Source organism: Homo sapiens, chromosome 13 (assembly GCF_000001405.40).
Source record: "Homo sapiens chromosome 13, GRCh38.p14 Primary Assembly".
NCBI lineage: Eukaryota > Metazoa > Chordata > Mammalia > Primates > Hominidae > Homo > Homo sapiens.
In genome coordinates this window covers 59,688,964-59,712,861 of record NC_000013.11, presented here as the reverse complement: position 1 = coordinate 59,712,861, position 23,898 = coordinate 59,688,964, and the positions used below count along the sequence as shown (strand labels likewise).

Genomic DNA, 23,898 nt, shown 5'->3' with positions numbered 1-23,898 from the left:
ATTGTCTTCCATGAAACCAGTCCCTGGTGCCAAAAAGGTTGCCTCTGGTGCATAGTATTAAACAAAACAGACACAGGATTGTTTTCATGGAGACTGCCATCTACAAGGGAAGACTTATTAAAGTGAACAAGTAACTGTAAGTGTGGTAGTTTTAAGAAAGTAAAATGGGGGATGACAAGTCAATAACAGGAAGATCAACCTACTCTGAAGGTGAGCCTCCCCCAAAGAAGTGGTATTTAAGTGAGAGCTGAATAAATCTGAGCTAGGTGCATAAGATATGTGTGGGAGCCAGCTATATGGAGAATGGATTGAGGGGGCCCGAGTCGATGGCTGGAGACTAGGTCAGAGGGAATTGCTGTAATCCAGATAAGAGATAGTGGTAGCTTAGGCCAAAGTTCAACCAGTGGGAATAGAGAGAAAATACAGAACATGGTATGTGATTGTTTATGGGGAATAAAACATATGGCTCTTGAGTTACTGACTTGAACAGACAGATGAGTCTCTTGTTTCCTGAGAAAAGGACCACTGCTTTATTTGAGAAAGAGAAGCCAGACAAAAAGTTTGAAAGACCATGTCTGCAGCTACCTAGCCAACCACTTGGAGAACTAGAAGGTTGTTCAGGATATTGCCATTGCCCCAAGAGTGCAGTGTCATCCTAATGATGTATCTTCTGCCTCTTTCTGCCTCTCTGTTTCTCTTGTCATTACCAGCTGGATATAATGCTGTTACCTTTTTGGCTAATATTTACATGCTTTTCTTGACTTTGTTGTTCTAACATATTGTCTTCTCTCTGGTCCTTGATTTCAGTGGTCCTATTCTATTTGTAACCTTCTCTTTGTGTTTTATTGTCCCAAGAGAGGAGCTTATAGGGTGAGTTGGATAATGTCTAGTATAGAATGTCTCATAAGGCATTCTTCTGCCAGGTTGCCTCATGCCAAGTTCACACTGCCTGTGGATCAGATACCATCCTTTGTCCATTGAGCCATGTTACCCAAAGGATGACAACTTTTATTTATTCGTGCAACAATTTTTTTTTAGTGTTAACTCTGTGCCAAATGATATGCTAAGCCATGGAAACATGTGCCTTGGAGTTATTCAAACTTTGATCTGAATTCTGGCTTTCCCATTCACCTAATATAGGAACATAGGCCAAAAATTATTAAGTTCTCTGGGCCTTGATTTCCTCATCGATATAATGGATATAGCATATCTTGAATTGTTCTGAGGACTAAATGAAGTAATTCAAGTAAAAGACTTAGTTTACTTCTAGCTCATCATTAGTGGTGTTGGTAAGAGAGGGGGTAGTGGTGGTGATGGTGGTGGTGGCAACGATGGTACTGATAGTGGTAGTAAGAGAGGTGGTGGTGGTGTGGTAATGGTGATGGTAGCAAGAGCAATAGCATCATTGTGGTAATAACAAAAGAAGTCATTGAGTCAGTGAGAATGGTGTGGTAGAAATGGAGATAAATAGTTCTTGATCATGACAGTTGTGGGGATGGTGGTAGTAGATTATAGGGAAAAAAAAACCTGCTGTTAGCTGCAGGATGCTCAGAAGGGCTGTGGATAAGAAAGCCACTCCAAGCTTCAAGGACTGTCCAGTACAAAGGAGTTTTTAAATGTGGTTGGGCTCCATTGTTAGGAAACAAATCACTATGCTCACTTAAACTTGGACCTTGGGGAGTGTATTTTATGAGTTCAGTACTTAATTACTTTCACGGTTCAAGAACACTGGCAAAGTGACTTAAAAGTACACAACAATTATCTAACTATTTCATAAAGTCAATTTAAGGGTGGAAAGTCTATATTAAAATGACAAGAACAGTGCTCACTTGCATGTACTTTAAAGAGCAAGGTAAAGCCTCGCTTCTTGGCCAGGGTGCATTATAGTCATTCAGTTACATCCTCTGAGTGTTTTTGTCTTTTTGACAGAAGAAACTCATCTCAAAGTATTGTTTTGTTCTGTATAATAAATTGTGTTGCTTAAAAACTTTCAAGCTGAACTCAGAGCTCTGTGAATTTTTTTTAACTTGTTTATTTGAATAGCTTTTGTGAATAAACCTGTTCTGAAAAAGGAGGTAGTAAAACAGTTTAAGAAATTAATACAAAGGCAGTAATAGCCAACATTTGTTGAAAAGGCCTGATACTCTGCTAGGATATTTACGTATATTATCTCACTTAATCACAACAATGTTAAGATGAGAGCCAGCACAGCATTATCTTCTGTTTACAAATAAATGAAGACTCAGATTTTCCCAGGCTCACACAACTGGCAACCCAGTCTGTTGCCAGAGCCATTTTTAACCAGATTGTTAATTGAGCAAGTTCTTTATTATTCCTTCTCCCTTGATTGTTTAACAATAAGAGAGATGAGTCACCATTTTATTAAAATATCCCTAATCTACTCCCATATTTTAAATGGCATGTCTTTTTCAGCTTTATAATTTGTTGTGCCATTTTTTAACTAACTTTAAATGTAGAGAGTACATTTGAAATAATCAAAATGAAGTTGTTGGGGTTTTTTTTTAAGATCTTTGCAGATATACCATGGTATTACTTTTTAGCACTTTTCTTTTTTTTTTTTCCAAAATAAATTTTTATTTTTTGTTATTTATTATTATTATACTTTAAGTTTTAGGGTACATGTGCACAATGTGCAGGTTAGTTACATATGTATACATGTGCCATGCTGGTGCGCTGCACCCACTAACTCGTCATCTAGCATTAGGTATATCTCCCAATGCTATCCCTCCCCCTTACCCCCACCCCACAACAGTCCCCAGAGTGTGATGTTCCCCTTCCTGTGTCCATGTGTTCTCATTGTTCAATTCCCACCTATGAGTGAGAATATGCAGTGTTTCGTTTTTTGTTCTTGCGATAGTTTACTGAGAATGATGATTTCCAATTTCATCCATGTCCCTACAAAGGACATGAACTCATCATTTTTTATGGCTGCATAGTATTCCATGGTGTATATGTGCCACATTTTCTTAATCCAGTCTATCATTGTTGGACATTTGGGTTGGTTCCAAGTCTTTGCTATTGTGAATAATGCCACAGTAAACATACACGTGCATGTGTCTTTATAGCAGCATGATTTATAGTCCTTTGGGTATATACCCAGTAATGGGATGGCTGGGTCAAATGGTATTTCTAGTTCTAGATCCCTGAGGAATCGCCACACTGCCTTCCACAACGGTTGAACTAGTTTACAGTCCCACTAACAGTGTAAAAGTGTTCCTATTTCTCCACATCCTCTCCAGCACCTGTTGTTTGCTGACTTTTTAATGATTGCCATTCTAACTGGTGTGAGATGGTATCTCATTGTGATTTTGATTTGCATTTCTCTGATGGCCAGTGATGGTGAGCATTTTTTCATGTGTTTTTTGGCTGCATAAATGTCTTCTTTTGAGAAGTGTCTGTTCATGTCCTTCGCCACCTTTTTGATGGGGTTGTTTGTTTTTTTCTTGTAAATTTGTTTGAGTTCATTGTAGATTCTGGATATTAGCCCTTTGTCAGATGAGTAGGTTGCGAAAATTTTCTCCCATTTTGTAGGTTGCCTGTTCGCTCTGATGGTAGTGTCTTTTACTTTTTAGCCCTTTTCTATCTTAGCTGTAGCCAATCTGTTGTTTTGAAAAAAGACCAACTTAATAAAAGTAAATCATGTTAAACTAATGATTCTATAAAATTACAGGCTCACCCAGAAATAAAAGTTATTCATCTGAAAGAATACAAAAGATTATGTATTCATTTAAAAACTTTTTCTCAGGTATGATTTTGTTCCAAATGGGCATAGATCTGCATTTTTTACAGATTTTAAAGAGTTTATATGTGTCTGAAAGTAGTTATCTCTACGTGTTGAGAGGACAGGTGATTTTTAAGTTTCTTTATTCATCTTTATAGTCCTGATACCTGGTAACTTTTTAAAAAATTATACATGGGAATAAAGGTCTTTTGGTAAAGGATTTTTAGTCTATAAGGTCTTTTTAAAATCCAGAATAAATAGCATGTTTTTAAAATATATTTATTATTATTATAAAAGCAATATGTCTTATTTAAAGCATTCAGAAAATGCATTCCAGAGACAGGTCAGAGCTGTGAAAATATAAATTGGGGGATTGCCAGTAGGTAAATGGTATTTAAACAATATGACTGGAGTAGATTGCTTTGAAATTAAGTGTAGATATGAGAGTTAATGTATTCAAGGACAGCCCTGGAACATACGGACATTTGGGGCTCAGGAGGAAGGGCGGAAACACAAAACACTGAGATGGAAAACCAAGCAAGGGTGAAGTCCTGGAAGCCAAAGGAAGAAAGAATTTCAGGTAGCAGAGAGTGACAACTGTGTCCCGTCTGCTGAGAAATCAAGTAAGGTCAGAGTTGTAAAACGACCATTGGATTTGGTAATGTGGAGGCTACTGTGACTTCAAGAAGAAGGGGAATTTTAGTGCAGTGGTAGGGACAAATATCTGATTGGAATGAGTTCAAGAGAGAGTAAGAGAAATTAGAAACTGCGATTGTAGGTAACTCTTTCAAGGGAGTTTGCTATAAAAGGAAAGAGAGGATGAGGCTGGAGGTTCAAGACTAGCCTGGGCAATATAGTGAGACTCCATCTCTAAAACGTTTTTTTTTTAATTAGCCTGGCATGGTGGCTCTCACCTGTTGTCTCAGCTACTTGGGAGGCTGAGGCAGGAGGATCGCTTGAGCCCCTGAGTTCAAGACTACAGTGAGCTATGGTGATGCTGCTGCACACCAGCTTGGGTGACAGAGCCAGATGCTGTCTCTAAAAAAATAATAAAATGAAAGGAAGGAAAGAAATGAATTAGTAGTTTGAAGAGGAATTAGGATCAAGGGAAGGGTTTTTTGTTTTTTTTTTTTTAAAGATGAGAGAAATAGTATGTTTGTTTGCTGGAGAGAATAATGAAATGAAGTGGGGAGAAATTGGTATGTTAGAAAAAGATGAGTAAATTGTTGGAGCATTGTCCTTGAATGAGAGATTATGAAGTCTAGGTTGCAAGAGGAGGAGTTGGCCTTATTGGAGCATGGACAGTTCATCGGTAGAAATGGGAAGAAAGGTAGAGTCTACTGGCAAAGTGATGTAGGTGGAAAGATGTCAGCAGTGAAGGGAGTTTGTAGAAGTTCTTGTTTCACTGGCTTAGTAATTTATTTTCATTTCTTCTCTTGCAGTTTAAGAATTTAATAAAAGCTTTTTTCGAATCGTACAGTATATTTAAACCACCTTCATAGAAATATTAAACCTTGATATGAAATGTATCATCAGCTCTTCTAAGTTATAAACTTTGGGGAATTTAAACTCCCAGAAGTACCAGATTTTCTACTTCAATCCCTTTGATTCCAATTCCCTTTAATATGTTCACCCAATTTTAACTTTCTAAAACCTTATTCTGCAGTTTTCTTCTTGATACGTTGTAACTGTGAGAAAGTCCATTTTATTTCTGTGAGCTTTCACATTTAACTTGAGAAACCTGTTTTCCAGATACTTAACCAGTTTCTAAATTACTTAACCAGGTGCCAGCGTACTACATTTAATGTACCAAGTAATGATTACTGATTGCTGGTCAATCCATATTCTAATTGCTTTTCCCCTCAAGGTATTGTTCTCTTGAGGGAAATTGTCAGCTGTTCAATGTTTTGAGACCAGAAACATTTAAAAATGCATTAAAACTTAAACTTGGAGCTTAGTAGAAACGCATTTAGCTGGCTTTACTACTAGGTTCTAATCACTTTTTTCGTGTAATGAATATGACTTCATTTTGTGTTAAAGTCTGTTTTCTCAGACAGATGGATATAACCATTTTCTGAAATTATTGCCACAATAACTGCTAATAATATAATCATAGTTAATTCCTTGCATTTATATGCATGTGTCAATTCTACCCAATCAAACTATTCCCATGGAAAATATGTGTTATTACTATAAAATAGCAACATATTTTTGTTAGTACTTTCCATTTGAAGAAATCAATTTGGCTATCTTGATTGTCCACAAATGCAAATATAGACAATCACAATTATTAATAGTAATCTGAGAATGACTAACAGGAGAGAAAAAAAGGAGACAAAAGAAAGTTGACCTCTCAGAGGCTAGTTTATTTCCTCTTATTAACAGCAGACCATTCACAGTCAAAACTTATTTTGTTCAGGATCTAGATAAAAGAAATAGTCTCTTAAAGTGGTAGCTTATGTATGGGTTATGGACACTTTAAAGTGTCTTATCATTTGGAGTTCTATAGTAGGGTTTGTAAATTAAAATGTCAGAACATTTACAAAGTATACATTAAGCAATATATTAGAGTAACTTAATCACCTTTACGAGCAGCCAGCTTTCAGTTTCGTAGCTTATATTAGTTTGTATTTTATTTGTATTCTTAATATTTCTCGTTTCCTTCTTCTTCCCTATTTGACCTAGTAACTCCTCAACTGAAAATGGGAACAAGTTACTTTTCTCTTCACCATTGTTTGGTATTATATGTGTTCTCAAGTTCATGTTAGAGGGTGATTCAAAAATTATATGATGTAAAAGATGTGCAGTTGACCGTCTGTATCCAGCGGTTCAGCATCCGTGGCCGCAACCAACCACAGATAAGAAATACTCAAAAATTGCCTCTGTACTAAACACGTGCAGACTTTTTTTCTTGTTATTATTCCTTAAACAATACAGTGTAACAACTATTTATATAGCATTTACATTGTATTAGGTGTTAGAAGTAAATCTAGAGGTGATTTAAAGTATACAGGAGGATGTGAATAAGTTATTTGCAAATACTGTGCCATTTTATATCAAGGACTAGAGCATCTTTGGATTTTGTTATCCTTGGGAGGTCCTAGAACAATCCCCCATGGGTACTGAGAAACGTCTACGTAGTCCTACTAGATAACAACAGTAAATGAGGAAAACCAAAGTATTATATACATAGTTAATTATCATGAAACACAAAATAGAACTCTTCATTATTAAAAACCTGCTTAGTAATATCAGCACAGGAAAGTTGTGCATTTAAACCATGAAATACAGGATTTGAGAAATCTCAATAATCTCATTTACCATAACAATTAGTAATATATTTCCCTATATTCCCAATATACTAGTTGTTGATCCCTATATTCTTTCATTCTTAACTTTCAGTGTGTATTGTATACTTTGAAAATTATATGTTCAGCCATAAGACTAAAATAATGAAAGAAAACACTAACGTACTTACTTCAACAATATTTTCATGCTTCTGTATTTTCAAGTTTCTTGAAGTTGCCTTCAGAGCCAGTTTACAAAACACACAAGAAGTCCCATTTACTTTATGGTTTTCTCTCATTGATCTGAAATGATTTTATGAGGTTCCTTTTTTATCAGGCCTCACTCCAAAGGGCTTCTGACTGTTTCTAAAGTCAAATCTACTTTCAGGGGGAAAAATTTTTGCCACCATTGAAAACAAAGATGCTACAGACCCTGAAGGCAATTATAGAAAAATTGGCAGATTGTTCTGAGTAGAATCTGAGTGGCACCGTGGGAGTAATAAGAGTATAACTTCCCACAGAAACTTTCGAAGGGGTTTGTGGTTAATTAGGGTCTCCATGTGTTTAAAAATTCATGGCGGCTCTCTTGTCATGAGTCAAGAAAGTAGGTGGTTATTTTGTTTTTAATCCCTATTTTTTTTTGCCGGTCTGTTTCTTTGGAGTGAGGACTAGGCTATAATCATTTTTGAATGCAAATCTCTCACACACTGTTTGGCACACAGGAAGAGCCTAGTAAATTATGGTAAAAAAAATTCTGTTTTCTTGGCTGTCAGACTGGAAGGACAAATCAGTTCATTTTTATTTAATAATCACTTTCATTCAGGTTTCTCCTATCTTACCATTGTAATGGCTATGGAACTAATTCTTTTCACATTTTTGAGGGTGCAGCTGTGAAAAAAATAGTCAAACCCTTAGACCTCCTGGAAGTTACATTCTGCTGAAGGAAGATGATGATAAACTAAATAAATAAAATATAGTCAGACGGCACTTAACGATGAAATATGTTGTCAGGCGATTTCGTTGTCATGCGAACATAATAGAGCATACCTAACACAAACCTAGATGGGATAGCCTACTACACATCTAGACTGTTGGTGTAACCTGTTACTCCTAGGCTGCAAACCTGCACAACATGTTACTATGCTGAATACTGTAGCCGATTATAACACAATGGTAAGTATTTGTGTATCTAAACATATCTACACATAAAAAAGGTATAGTAAAAATGCAGTTTTGTCTTACGGGATCACCATCATACATGCAATCCTTCATTGACTGAAGTGTCATTCTGCAGCACATGACTGTACATAGCATGTTAGATGGTAAAGAGTGCTAAGAAAAAAATAACCACAGCAAGCTTCTGCTTCTGTATGAGGGTGGCAGATCAACATTCCTGCCAAGAGCAACTAGAATACCAGAGGAAACAAAGATCATCCAAGAGCTGTGGAAACAGTGAGGACCAGAGGAACTTAAATTTTGGAGCAAAGTCTACCTGTCTGTAGGAAGATACTTGCAGCTGCCAAGGCGAGAGATTGACAATCTGGGTTTGGCCCCAGGCAGAGGGCTACCGCTTTGGGACAAGAAGCCAGCCACGTTTCGGCAGTTGTGTGGGGCCAGACTGGCAAAAAGGGAAACTTGAAGGGCCTCAGCACAGAGTCCATTTCCCCTTCATAAGATTTACTGAATTCTGAAGCTGTGGATGATGAGGGGTTGCAAAAGAGACGAAGTCTAAGAAGAAGATCTATTTTTGCTGAGGAAATGATAACCTGCCAGACAATCAGTCGAAAACCCTGGAGGCCTGTGCCCTAGGAAATAGAGCAAATCAAAATAGACCCAATCTTGCTAAAACTGCAACTTAGCCTGGGGTTAGCTCAGTTCCTGACTGGATGGAGATTAGTAAGACATTTACCTTTTCTTTCCAGAAGAAAGTGAATCCTCAGGTAGAAGACAACATCATCTGGGGCCTCCTAGGTTTTTGTTTTCTTTTTATATTTTGTTTTTTTAATATATACATAGAATATCCAGATTTCAATAAAACACTGCTAGGCATGCTAAGAGATAGGACATTTGGACACACACACATAAACACGCATACAAGAAATAGTTATTTAGATGATCCAAATACTGAAGTTACTAGACAGGGACTTTGAAATGAATATATTTCAGAAACTAGAGGAAGAGAAAATACATAAAAAGAGGGAGTGCTTCACCCAATAATAAGAATCTATCAAAAGAATCTAATGGAAATTCTAGAACCGAAAAATACAAACTATAAAATTAAGAATTTAGTGCTGGATAAAATAGCAGTTTAGATAAGCAGAAAACAGGAGAGGTGAACAGGAAGACTCTCAGAAAATATCCAGGCAGAAGCAGAGAGCAAAAAAAGATGCTGTATATAGAAAAAAGTATAATGGACATGCAATACAACAAAAAGGTTTAACACTGCATTGTCCGATAGACTCCTAATGTGGAACACGTATGTTACTTAAACAGATGAAGTTAATTTTAATAATTTATTTTACCCAATATATTCAAAGTATTATTTCAACATGTAATTAATATGAAAATTTTAATCAGATACTCTGTTTTCTTTTACTCATGCGAAGTCTTCAAAATCAGTGTGCATTTTGCACTTCACCACATCTCAAGTTGAGCTAGCCATTTCAAGTGCTCCATCATCACATGTGGCTATGGCTACTATATTGGACAGCTCAGTTTTACATGTATATAAGGAGAATCCCAGAAAGAAAGAGAAAAGAAAGGAGAGCCATATTTATTTATTTATTTATTTTAAAGATTAGGAAAAGGGATAGAGAGTGCCAGACATTGGTAGTGGCGAGCATGAGGGGCATACAGTTTCAAATGGAGAGATGAAGGCAGGCTTCCCCACAGGGTAGTGTTTGAGGACAGACATAAAGGAGATGAGGAAGTGAATGAGCCTTGCACATGAGTGCAGGAAGGAGTTTAAGGATAGGGACTCAATGCAGAAGTGTGCTTGTATGCAGCAAGAAGGTAGGTATATTGTAGAGGGATTAACTAGGAGATTAGGTCAGAGAAGCAACAGGAGGCCAGACCATATAAAGCCTTGATATAGTTCTGGAAGTTTATCTAGAGATAAAGAATATAACTGTATATTTTCATGTTTTGTGTACTCACTTCATCTTAAGGAGGGGGATCTCAAGGCTTAAATATTAGCTTTGGTTTTTCTACTGCTGTTAATAAGAAAATAAAAATACTTCCTAAGAGAGACTGAATGGTAAAGTCATGTAATGCCTTTGTAAGTGCAGTGTGAAAGGTCAGGGAAGGTTTGTGTGCGTGTGTTCTAAAGCTGATTTTCAGAAGTCCTTTTCCCCTAATCAAGCTCTGTCAGCATAAAATATTTTAAATAAACAGCTTTTCCACACTGTGAATATAATATCTAGCAAGACCAATATAACGCTTCATTTTCAGATTTCTCACATTTTGTTTTCTTTTTTTAAAGACTGAAAATAACCACATTCAATTTGTAAGTTAAGCGTAATTTCTTTTATGACAAGTGGCTCAGTCTTCATTATAAGTTAGGTAATGAGAAGGCATCTAGTTAGAAAGCTAGGGCATTTCTTCATCTCACAAATGCAGATTTGAATGCTGAGTATGCCTGGGTGTTGTATATCATCTTCCTAATTAAAGGTAAGAAAAATACAATTACTATGGCCAAGATGGTAAAATAAATAATAACAAATCTTTATTCGTTGAGGTTGGATGAGAGGTTTACTTACAGTAAAGGAACTATCTTAGGAAAGGAAAACAAACAGTAAGAAGAAAAGGTTGAGAAGTTTAAGGAATAGGTTTCTTCAGGGATTGATATTAGCTCTAGGCTTACTTAACACTTTTACAAATAATCTGGAGAAAGGCAGTACTCAGTCAAATATCAGAGGTTTTAAGGAACGCTAAACTTTCTAGTAGGAAAGAATCAATAAATTGGAGCGCTGCCCAGGGAAGACCTTGCAGATCTGTGCAGGTGGGCAGATGAATACAGGGTGGTAAGAATGCAGTGATGTATGTATGGCCATTGAGTTAGTATGTTTATGTATGTGTGTATGTGATCTTCAAGCAATGGCTTTTAGCCTTTTTGAAAGATTTCCCCATTCATTTGAGAATCTAATCATAGTTAAGAAACTTTTCCCTAGGAAAGAAAGCTCATAACCCCCACAATAGGAAGTCATGGTCTTGAATGAGCTAAACATTTCAGAAATAATTTTCTTCAGTTCATTTATTCAGTGAGCAAACAAATATTTATTGAGCTTCAGCTATGAACTCTGACCTATATGACGTGCTGGGAATACAGAGAGATAAAGACACACTTGGCCTCTGACCTCAAACTGACCTAGGTTACAATTTGGAAGGAGCTAGATAAGCAAGCATTTTTGCAGCAATGTGATCACTGTTCCCACCTCTATGCCAAAGTGCTGTGTATGTCTCTAGAGAGGCACTGGATTCAGACTGTGGAGGGAACTAAGGATTTCAGAGATGGCTTGCGAGAGAGCATCTAATTGATGTATAATGATTACCTTCAGTCAAAATTACCAAAAATGTCAAAGGCCAAGATCTTTGTTATATCATATTGCGAACATTCAGTATCTATGAGTTTGATATACCTCAAGGTAGGTACAATGGAATGCACGCAACTAAAATTAACAGAAGGATAAGATCAATTTCTAAATGTGTAATTTTTTAGACTTGGAGGCAGAGGCTGGGAGAGAACATTATAAAATATACATACATGCAATGTATATATACATACAGTAAGAGAAATGGTGTTAGTAAAGACTGATATACCAAATCTTCTAATACTAAAATAAAAAATGAATATCCTTGAAACTTAATCTGAGTAGCTTCTTTTACTAAGTAAATAAACTACTGAACTAATTATCTTAAAATAATAAAAGGAACTATTAACGGAAATGATTTTTGATAAATTACCGAATGCCAGAAGTACTAAAATAATCTACTCTTTAACATTTATGGTTGATTTAACAAGGATAACCAAGCAATCTTTATTATTCAGCATAAAGACTTACCGTTATAGCAGATGAACTCTAGAATCTCAAGGGCTTAACACAATAAAGGTTTATTTCTTTCCCATATGAAGTCCAGTGTGGGTCAGGCAACTTCCCCCCATCAACTGGCTTTATCCTCTGGAAGATCATGGTCTTTGCACCATGGAAAGAGGCATGGAGGAGATACTTTGACTCTTAACTACCTCACCCTAAATATTCCACAAGTTACGTCATACCCATGAACCAGAGATTTTCACATGGCTTAAACCTAATTTCAGAAAGATATGGGAAATGAAAGAAAGTACGTAGAATATTTGGTGAGCTCTCTCTCTCTGCCACATCCTCCAATGTTACATTCTTGGGGATACTTGTCAGAAAAAATATCACTGTGGCCTAATAAAGGAATTAGTGTGTGTCTGTGTATTCACCCTGCAAGCACACATTCATCCCTCTATTCCAGAGTCCTCCAAACAGGAAGTCCCCACCAGAGAAATATTTGACTACTATTACAAAGGTTTCCAGCTGAGTAATTGCTGGATAAAAGGGAAGGGGGCAATTAGGTGTTATACTATGGGGAGATACATCATTATTAGAATTGCTCTTTCCTCCCCCTTCATCTTTCCCCATGGTAGAAATAATGGGCTAAATGGGAAAATGGTGGTAACGCTAACTAAAATGGGGAATGTAAAGAGAAGCAAGTTTTTTCTTTCAGAAGAAAAGCAATGTCCATTCAGACGTGAGGAATTTGAACAAGAAGGAGATACACCATATACAAATAGAAACCGAGATTTGCAACTCAGAAATGTATTTAGCACAGAGGAGTAAAGTTTGAAGCCGAAGCCTGTGTTTAAGCCATGGAGACAGATGACCTCAAGCTCTCTCCCTCAGGGAAGTGTTCACATTTAAGGTTGACCAAGGGAGAGTGTGTGTGCGGTTGGAGCAGCAAGGGTGGGTGTCACCAGGGTAAGAGAAGTGAATGAGCTGCATACTCAAGTTTGGAAGAAAAATAATAGCTCTTTCCACCTAATTTAAAGATTAGAAAATCCATGTAAGCCTATCATTCTAATTTAGCTCCAACAGTCCATAGGAGGTCACTGCATGGACTTTCCCCAGTGGGCTCTGATTCCAAACTGTTCAAAGTCCTGTAAGGAAGCCCTGGAGAAAATCCAGCTATAAATTAAGATGGAGTGAATTACTGAAATCACTTTCTGATAAAACCTGGATTTAAGATCATTCTGTGCCCCAAAGTGTTTCTGAAAAGGGTGGGACACAGGGAAATAAATTAGTAAGTCAGATTGGATGAGATAACTCTTCTCAAAACCCTCCAGTGAAGTAAGAGACCAAGGGCCAAACCATCTGTCCCCATCATCTCTCTGACCTCATTTCTGCTACTCCAGCCCTGGCTCACTCCCCTTCAGCTGTCCCAGCCATCTTGCTATTCCCAGAACACATCAGTCTTTGTACTTGCTGCTTCTGTCTGGAACATCTTCAAAATATATGTATACTCACTCCATCTATTCCTACAGATCTCTGCTCCATTATCCCTTTGTGAGAGAGGCCTACTCCAACCATTCTTTGTAAAGTAGCAACCACAACCCTCAGCATGTTGACACTGCCTTTTTCTCCAATGTACTGACCACCCTATAACATATGTGTTTACCTGTGTGTCTCTTGTGAGCTGCCTCCTGCCTTACTCCTAGAATATAAGCTCCATGAGAGCCAGGGACCTTTTCAACTTTGTTGTCTACTATTCCTAGAACAGAGCTTGACCCATATTAGAAGTTCAGTATCTGTTGAATTAATAATTGGGTATTAAAGATTATCCTTTGCAATCACTAATATTTTACTCTTAGCATGTTTTAATACCAAAAAGGAGAGAGGACATAATTTTAAATTTGTATAAATTTAACTTCCCGAATCATTATTTTTCTCATTTTGCTTCAGTGAACACATGTAAGCTGCAGTTGGGGACCACTGCACCATGCCATCCTAATTCTTTTAGGTCTGTTAATCCTTGCCATCCAGTATTTGTGTTACTCATAGGAAATAGATTACTTCAAGCTGATTTAAGGAAATAAGAATATTGCTTACTTCCTATTTTTTAAGGAAGCAGGAATATGGCTTATTGTGCTATTCCTTTTGGTAATACTTTTTCATGCACTAATTTAGCAACTTTTTTGCACATTTGTTCTAATATTTATGCAAGAGAGATTTTAAAAAGATAGATGAAAGGGATTTTTGCTTAGTTAAGTATTGTTAAATAGGATTTTTATATTCAGGTTGCTTCAGCAACTGTTGTGTTTGGTAGCTCTGATTTTCAAATGTAGCAGGTTGTCATGGAAGGTCTGTTGTTACTTCATTTATTTTTTTTCTTTTATTAGTTGTTTGAGGCAGTAAAATAGGCTTGTGTTACCTCACTAAAAAGACATCATTTTAAGTTATTTTAAGTCCTTGAGAAGATCAGTTTACCACAAGGAAAAGACTTAAAATCTCATATTAAGCTCAGAGTGAAATTGTAATCAGGCAAGCAATTATTTAATTTTCTTCATGGTGTACTTCATAAATGTCAACATGACTTGTTGAGGGAAAAATGACAAAAGCATGAAATGTATTGGTAAGTATGAGGAGAGAGAAGACAGATCATTGAAAGGATGCTGTCCATATTTTAGTGGTTGAACAATAAGCATTCTTTAGTTTATGCACATTTGGGCATATGCATTTTATTGGACTTTCTTGTTTTCTTTTTACCAATACATAACTTTCTTTGACTACCATAATTTAAGATAATGTAAAAAAAATGCCAGGAGTGTTATTTACTTCTGAACAAAATTGAATGTAAAAGCAACTATTATTTTCAAACATGATTAACATCTTAAAATGAAAGCATAATTATTCACTGTATCTAACCCTTTTCTGGGAAATACAAGACATTGGCACAATAATCAAGTAGCTGATAATTAGTTGAATGATTTAAAGTTGTTTTTAAACATCCTGAACATTTATCCTTTCCTTTTATCAATAGGTAATCTTTTTCTCATAGCTTGTGTGGAAGTGAAAACCCAACCTCCCATCCTCAGATTCCAGGCTGTTCCAATGGTGGGCCTCACAGGGAAGAATGATTCTTAGATCTGTCACATATCTCTAATAATAACTCTGTCAGAGCTAAAGAGGCAGTGCAGTTTCCTGGTAGCTGCGATGACTTAATGACCATCCACATAGAGTGTATTTATTTGTAGTGATATTTAAATAAATTACATGAAATAATCACAGATATTGGTATATGAGTTGAATCCCCTCTTCTTTTTTTTTTTTTTTTTTTTTTTTTTTTTTTTTTGAGACAGTGTCTCGCTCTGTCGCCCAGGCTGGAGTGCAGTGGCGCAATCTCGGCTCACTGCAAGCTCCGCCTCCCGAGTTCACGCCATTCCCTTGCCTCAGCCTCCTGAGCAGCTGGCACTACAGGCGCCTGCCACCACGCCCGGCTAATTTTTTTGTATTTTTAGTAGAGACGGGGTTTCACCGTGTTAGCGAGGATGGTCTCGATCTCCTGATCTCGTGATCCGCCCGCCTCGGCCTCCCAAAGTGCTGGGATTACAGGAGTGAGCCACCGCGCCCGGCCCTGAATCCCCTCTTCTAAAAACCTTTCTGCTGTCTTACCTATCCTATTGTCAGCATGTGGAGTAGTTTGAGGAGGTATTATTCCTAATATTTCAGGCTGGAATTTCTGAATTTTTACAACTATCATTAGGTTATAAAGCCCTCAACATACCATGTGTTAGTCAAGTTCCTACTCAAGTTAAATGATTCAGAGGTTTAGAATAGGATAATCCAAATCTCTTGGGAATATGATTCCCTAATTCATTTGAAATACAATTAAAAGTTTATTTTGCAACTAACTAGGATAGAATTACAAGTTTACTTTTACTTTCTTTCTGCAAGCAGAAGCAAATACATGTCAATTAATAAAATGAGAAGATGTTTTTGGTTTATTAATGATTTACATAAAATCGGGAACCTACTTAACACATACAAATAAGAAAAACACCATAGAAAATTCAATTTAGCATTACAGAAATTACTGCAAACCAACTCTTTGTCTGTACTAGTATATAAAAATACTTTTAAAAGTGCATCAATTTTCACAGCCATTTAGTAGATTAGAAAGCAATTGTAAACAGCATAAAACCCACATTAATGCCTGTCAACATCCTGCCTTTTGCTCAGTTATGGATTTGTTTGAAATAACAGTGAGATCTAAAGTGATTGCATCAACATCACAGACTGTATAAATATGAATGAACCCACCGTAATGGGATGCATAGCACTATATAGCAGGCATTTGTCCTCCCTGTCATGGTAACAGGTTTGTGATGTAAGAGAACATGGCATTGTCTCCAAGAAATAACTCCACATGTTCTTATACTGTAATCATAGCAACTGATGGGTTTTTAGATTGCTCTAAATTTTATATTCTAATATTGTACTATTAAAATCCATCTGTTGTTTAATGTTCAAAAATCAATCCAGATAATATGAAATCCATTGAGCTATTTCTAAAAAGTGATTGTTAATTTCAGTAACATGCCATTTTGATTTTTAGTGGATTATCTTGATGGATCTCTGCCTAAAAGCATAAGATCAACGGAACCATGTCATCTGAATAGAAGCTAGTGAATGGGATTGGGTGCAGTAAAATGGAAATCCTTTTTAATGAAAGATAAGAGCTGCATCCTTACCTCTCAACCTTTCAATCCTTTCATTTGAGGATTTAGTAAGTTGTTGTTTTCCTTTGTTTGGAATATAACGGTGTATGTTAACTTAGTTCTAGTTCTACTGTTTTATTTTTAAAGATGACCACATTAAGAGGTTTTGGTGGTAGAACAAATAATTTTTTAAAGACCTCTTTTATATTATTAAATTAGAAGAAAGGGTACCAGTGCATATCTTTTTAATTGGTTGACTCAGCTTAAATTGTCATTCTTATTTAGATAAGGGTCATTTTATTCTAGTACTTAATTTTTTTGTTGGAATACTCTTATGCTGGTAAAAGTTTTAGTACTAACTTCTTAAGTACATGTTTTAGTCTTCAGAAAGGGTAAAGTGTACATTTCAGTATTAAAACCATTAATCCAGCTTGGTTGTATATTGACATTTCACTTTTTAGCAGATCATTTACCTGACTGGAGATCTCTCTTCTTTGTTAAGAATGTTGCTTTTACAGTTTTCTGATACTTAGGAGAGGAGACCATGGCCATTTAATAGAACTAATATTTGTCTAGTGACTTTTCTACTGTGCTTTGTGCATTGTATTATCTCATTTAATGCATTCTACCTTTTATTTCTGTTTGAAGGGAGGAACCATCTGGATTGTAACAGCAAGTTCTTTTCAAGCACAAAAGTTCCAGGAGAGAGAGAATATAGATTTAGTATTATTCCTCCTGGCATTCCTCATTCTAACTTTTGCCATCACCTGAGTTCCAGCATTGGGGAAGACAAAAGCACCAGGGTGCACATCTTTAAAGACATTTATGCTGCTTGCCTTCAAGTAAATATCAGCTACAACCAGGAATATTAGACTGTCTCCCTTTTCCCTGTAAAGTGGGCCTTTAATGGGATGGCCACACTTTATTGATGGGAATCCTGTGTTCAAGTTGAGATCACAGGTACAAATGAAGCCTAACTAGTAACCTACAAAATATATGCACTAGAAGCTATGGCAGTGGTTCAAAGTTAGAAAGATGATTAGTATATTCATTTTTATCGACTGTAGCACTTTATGATGCTTATGGAAATATTCTTAGTAAATTATTCAATCAAATAAATTTTACATGAGGGTTTTACTAACAAGTCTAAAAAATTATTTTCAACTAGATTCAGTCAGACAGATGGATTTTGTTCTCCAGGTGGTTGCGTATTTTTTGCTTGATAACCTATTTGGCAGCACTCTTTTGAACCTGTGAATATTTATATTTTAGGGCCCTCTCAATAATTAAGAAATCCACTTTCAGTACCAGATGTTTCCAATGACTGAACAACTTTGTTTCATTCTACAACTGTAACTTTTTTTTTACTTTGTTTGTGTTTTCAATAATATTTTCCCAAGAACCAGGAACAAAGGAAGCATTTACTAAAGTCATATGTTCACTAAGAAACTTTATAAAGGCTAATTTACTTTATTAAGCAGAAATGTAGGCATCCCAAGAGCATTGTTTATTTTAACAATCAAGCGTTTTAGAAGCTATAAAAATTAGCTAGTTTATAATGTTTTCAGTGACTTTTCTTCTTAAGTTGTTGAAGTACCCAACTAAGACACAAATTTAATTTCAGAAACTATGAAATTATGCTTTCCTGTAATGTATTATCTAACCTTTGGATGAAAAGCTTTAAATTTTTCAACTAAGAACTGTGCAACAAATGAAGAGTAAAATAACTTCCTTTATAGTAAACTAGACCAAAATCAGTGTATCAACCTCATACACTTATTCTCGGAATAAACCCTGACCTGAGACGAGATTTTCATTCTATAGCAAATAAATCTTGAGTATCCTGTGATGGTTGGAGTCATACACAATTATCTGAGTTTTTACCAGTCTCCTATTTCATTTTACCTTGACTAAGTCCATTCTTCGATTATTTTTCTTGATGTCACTGAGGCTAACTATTGGTTCTTAATATTTCAAAGACAAAAATATATAATATCTTTCATATCTGTCCTTTCTTATAATGGTAGACAAATTGAAAGTGGAGTATTTGGTGACTTTGGTTTATATATAGCACCACAAGAACAATTAGGGATCACAAGAATGAAGTCACTTATTTGAAGAATCACATTTTAGGATATTACTAAGATTTTTCTTTATGTTGAATTTAGAAGGTTGTATACTAAACATGTCATCATTTCATAATTTATTTCAGAAACTATTTCCTTGAAAATTCACTTTTGGCCTTGCTTTCTAAATGAGGATTATAAGGATCATTTAAAATTCAGATTTAAAAATATAATTCCCTATATAAATTAAAGCTTCAAGTTTATTCTGCAAGTAAGAAACTCAAATTTATCATATCATTTTACAATAATTTTCTTTCTCTTTTTATTAAAAACATTATCATTTTTACTGTTTTTGAGATATCCCATCACGTGCTTCATGAATTTTGCATAAACTTTGTGACTTTTTTCTAAGATTGGGAAATACGCTGTTTTTGTTCCGCAATGAGTTTCCATGTGAGATTGCAAATAATTCCGATACTATATAAAGACCATCCAAGAGCATCTACTTTAAATTGTCTTTACAAGTAGGAGAGAGGGATTTGCACTGATAATTTTCCTAATTCCTTGGAATAATGTCATACACTTTTAAGCCTGAGTTTTGACAATCAGAATCAGACAAAGAACTGAGTTTCATGATATCAAAGAGCTTATAAAAGGACATCTGGCCAGCCCATACTCCTACCTAACATCTTTTAGTGGCTTCCTGTAGTTCTTTGAATAAAATAATAAAATAATAAAATCTCAGTTCATACAATGTCCCAGAACACCCTCACCCACAGGCCCAGGCTACCTCTTCCGTCTCAGTCCAGTCACTCTTCTCTTTGGTCACTACTTTCCAGTCATAAGCGCCTTCCACCGGAGGCCTTCACGCTGTTCCCTCTACCTGGAATGCCGTTCTTCCACTAAACCTGTCTTGCTAACTCTTTCTTGTTCTGTTCTGAAATATAATTTTCTCATAGTAATTTTCCTGTGACTGCCTTCCCTCTAAAACTTAAATCAGGTCCCTTGTTACATTCATAATTGTACCCTTTACTTTTCCTTCATTGTACTTACAAGTTATAATTACATATTTGTTTGATTATTTGTTTAATGCCTGCCTTTGCCAATAGAATGTAAGCTCTGTGATTAAAGAAAGAGTTGGAGTCAGAAGAAAGATTTTATTATAATCAGTATTTCACACTTTTGACAGGTAAATTAGACCCAAAATAACTCCCAGGGAGCAATACACAGCCTGGAAAACATGAAACAAGGAGCGGCTGTTTGGTGTAATAAAGGAGGAGCACCAGGCTGAATTTTCAGAGGCCTAATAGAGTAGGTTATGGTTGATGGAGGTGGTGGTGGTGGGTCGATTTCTGCATGGCAAAAGAGTGTACCCTGACTATTTCACTGTGTCATTTGAGGCATATCTTTTGACCATTCTGGGCCTGTTTCCTTGTCATTAAAAGGAAACCTAAGGTTCTATGACTATAACATTGTCACCTTCAAACAGGAGAATGGAGTAAGGCTGGGCTTCAGCATTCTTTAGTGTCCAGAAGATGGATTATAGTTGTGAGCCTTACCAAGAATTCCAGACACAGCCAATAATATAGACCTTATTTGGTGTCGGGGGATGGGGGGGTTGGGGGTGTCAGTCAGGGAAGTAGGGGGATGTAAAAGGTCTGAAAAAAGGGATACAACTAGAAATGATTTAAATGACCTCTTTGGCTCAAAATTCATAATTATTTATTTACCATTCATACCTCTTATTAGCCCTCAAATGTTAAACCTCAACCTTCCTTTTGCCTCATCAGATTTCATAGATATATTCTCAGGTACTCAGAAAAATAGCTAAGCTATCAAGAGTAAAAGTTTGTATTCTTTTCTAAAAAAAAAAAAAAAAAAAAAAAAAAAGAATTTCTCAAAGCTATGAGTAATCTGTACCAAGTAATTAAAAAAATAAGTTTTATTCTAGTATTTTTATCAAAACCATAGAACAGAGAATACTGTGAACTATACATGGGGTATTCTACATTCTAAATTCTATACTTAGCTTTTTAAAATCCTTTTTGACTTGTCTTAGGCTGAATGAAGTATTTGAGTCCTAACATGAACATTGCATAAGCTTCACACTGAAGAGTCAGGATTATTTTTAACTAATGTTTACAAAGGATCAGTGGACTGTATCCTTTTGTTTATGTTATACATGAAAGAAATACAGTTTACATAGTCACAAACACCCTCAGTCAGCCCTCTGCAAATGGATTATGTACTTGAATATAAAAAAGTTTCTCACACATTTTAAATGCACTTGAGCTAAAACATTCTTTCCTCCTTGTTTACTTCTTTCCCTTTCTCTAGCTTTGCTTCCTGTCTTTTGCTTATTTTATTCGTTCTACATGCTTTAACTAAAATTGATCTATATACAGACTGAAATTTCAGGTTGAGTTTTATTCTGAATATTCCTTAATCATCATATGTTCACAGTGAGACCTTTTCTTGTGGTCAAAAAGATTATAATTTTGCTGATATAAAGCATATTAATTTAACAGAAGCAAGCATATGGAAATGGTTCAAATGTGCCAGGTTTTATTTTAACTACTGGTCTTTTACCATATTTCCTAAACACCTAGATATCAGTAAGTAAGCTTTTATAATCTTTGATCTGATCTCATAGTTCAGCAAAACATTGCTCAAGGTTGACAGTATGACCCATGGGGATAAAAAACAAGACTAATGATATGAGTAAGCAGAAATTCTTCTCTCTCATGCAGGGCAAGGGTCTGTGTAATTTTCTCAATCTAGTCATCCCCTTTCCTTTGGAAAATCCAAAAAGATAAGATAAGAAATTACTTAAATTTTTAATGACTAAAAAGCAACTGATAATTAACAGCCATCCTGCCTTCCTGTGTGTTGCTGCCATCATTCTCCCTAAACACCAGACCCTTTTACCTCCCAGCATTTTGTATTTGCTTCTTTTTCTACCCGCAATGCCCTACTATTCTTCTTTATTTGACAGACTCCTACTTACATGTCAAGACCCAACACAAATGTTACTTTCATAGTAAATCCCCTGGAGGTCTAGTTCCTCTGTCCTCTTTGCTTCTGCAGTATTTTTTCCCATAGCTCTATTTTAGCACTTATTTATAATTTATTTGTTTTAATAATTTGTTTCTCTCTGATAGATATGAGTGCCTCAAGGCCTAAGATCTTGTTCATCCTTGCATCCCTGGCCTCAGCACAATGGCTGGTAGATGCATAGTAGGCAATCCATTATTGTTTGCTTCAATTGCATGAATTAAGCAACCAATCACATGAAATGTCTGACCAACAATCTTCTACTTTGAAACCAGTGTATTCCCAAAGTTAATTTTTAAATCAGTTGTTTTGGAATTCACAAAGCAATTTCCCATAGAAAGAATGTTATAAATGGTGGTTAGGTTCCCAGGCTAGCCCTCAAGAGTCTATTTAACCCATAATGTAGCTGTAACACTATGCAGTTGTAATGAAAAATAGCAGAAAACAACACTGTTACAAATGTGCAATGTTTTCATTACATTAAGTAAATACAATTCCTCTTCTGTATAGAAAATGCAGTCTAGGGCAAATTATACCAACCAGCAAATGTAATATGATCTAGTGACAAGAGCAGGATGGCTGAACATAGGCCAAGCTCTTTCACTAATTTGCTTTATAAATTGTTTAACTTTACTATGCCTGAATTTCTGCATCTGTCCAGCCAACTTGGTAATTCTTGCCTGCTCATGCTGAAGAAAAGGTAAAGTAATGTATATAAGAATGCATTGAAACACATAAAGCCCTATAAAAATGCAGTGTATCATGGCATAAAGTGCTCACAGACAAATGAAATTAGACTGAATTTTGGACTTTTAATGGAGTGAAAAATAAAGGAGCAGAGTTGATGTTTCAACTTCAGTTGCCCAACCCCATCACCTGGAAGCTAGGTAACCATCATGTTATCCTTTCTTCACCATGAGCAAGTCGAAAACACATGAGTTAATATCTCTGGGCCTTGGTTTCCTCTTGGGTAAAGTGACATTGTGCAAATTAGATGACCTTCCAGTTCTTTTAATCTGGATGTCTGTGTTTAACATTATTTGGATAGAGTAGCAACTTTCATAGCATAAAAAAATGTCCTGGAAGGGTCATAATTATATGGTCTGAATTTCTTCAGTTTTCTGTGATCAGCTTACTTAAAGCATCACTTGCATAACATACATACACACACACACACACACACTGCTTAATACAGTTTTTTTTCTTAATCTGCCAAATCTGTCCGCCCTAAAACCAACTTGTCCCCCAACATCTGCCAAATCTTTCCACCCTAAAACCAATTTGTTCCCCACCGTCTGCCATCAAAATCAGCGTGGAAACCAACTTCTGTCAAATAATATCTCCATCCAAACCTGCAGAATAGCAGTCTTCTCGTTTCTTACTCAGAATTTTGCTTTCTTCCATGAAGAAGAAAGTTTTCCTTCATGATTTGCCTAAAAATTTCTCCTTGATTCTGGTGCACCAGATATATACTTGGGAAACTGTCTAATCAAATTTTATTCTCTATTAGGAGCCATCTGTTTGCTGATGACGACTCTGTTTGTTTTTTATTTTAGTGCAATCCATTTTCAATCCTTCATCGGTTTTATCATACCACCTGCACTTCCCATTTTCCCAGCTCATTCCTTCCTTCCTCTTGTGTGGGTGAAGAAGGAGACAGGGTGTGGACAGCAGGAGGCCGCCGTACTCCTAACAGAATACTTGAGGCTCAAATTCTTCTCTCTGACTGATTAGAATGCCTCTCTCCCCAGGTAGTCCAGGCCTTCTTTACTTTCTCCCCTGTATTTAAGCTTCCTCAGAAATCTTGTGGCCTTTCAGGAGACTTTCTTGCAGCAGAAGAAAGAAGGTGCTAAATTCTTGCAATCTTTAACTTTCTATAACAAGAGATTCACAATTATCTCTCCCTCAATCATTGCTTTCTTTCTGTGCCTGGGGATTGACTAGTACATAATAAAGATGAAACCCAGTCTACGTAGTTGATTGCTTTTTGGTGAAACTCTATTACATAAA

General features: G+C 36.1%; 1 protein-coding gene across 11 annotated transcripts in view; it reads left to right on the top strand.

The window, feature by feature from the left end:
• DIAPH3 (diaphanous related formin 3) overlaps positions 1-23,898 on the top strand; it is a 498,346-nt gene that overhangs the window by 451,067 nt on the left and 23,381 nt on the right. The window contains exons 28-31 of one of the 11 annotated variants that reach the window (XR_002957478.1): positions 12,781-16,836; positions 17,417-17,610; positions 18,981-19,105; positions 20,024-20,145. The exons of 6 other annotated variants lie outside the window; for them this stretch is intronic. Coding sequence is in view for 1 of the 5 variants with exons in the window: in XM_024449422.1 (XP_024305190.1) it covers positions 12,781-12,893 (113 nt within the window). In the remaining 4 variants the exon portion in view is untranslated. Of the gene's footprint in view, positions 1-12,780; positions 17,910-18,980; positions 19,106-20,023; positions 20,146-23,898 lie in introns of those variants that run through there. 4 more of the 11 variants (XR_002957480.1, XR_941672.1, XR_002957477.1 and 1 more) reach the window with 4 other exon arrangements.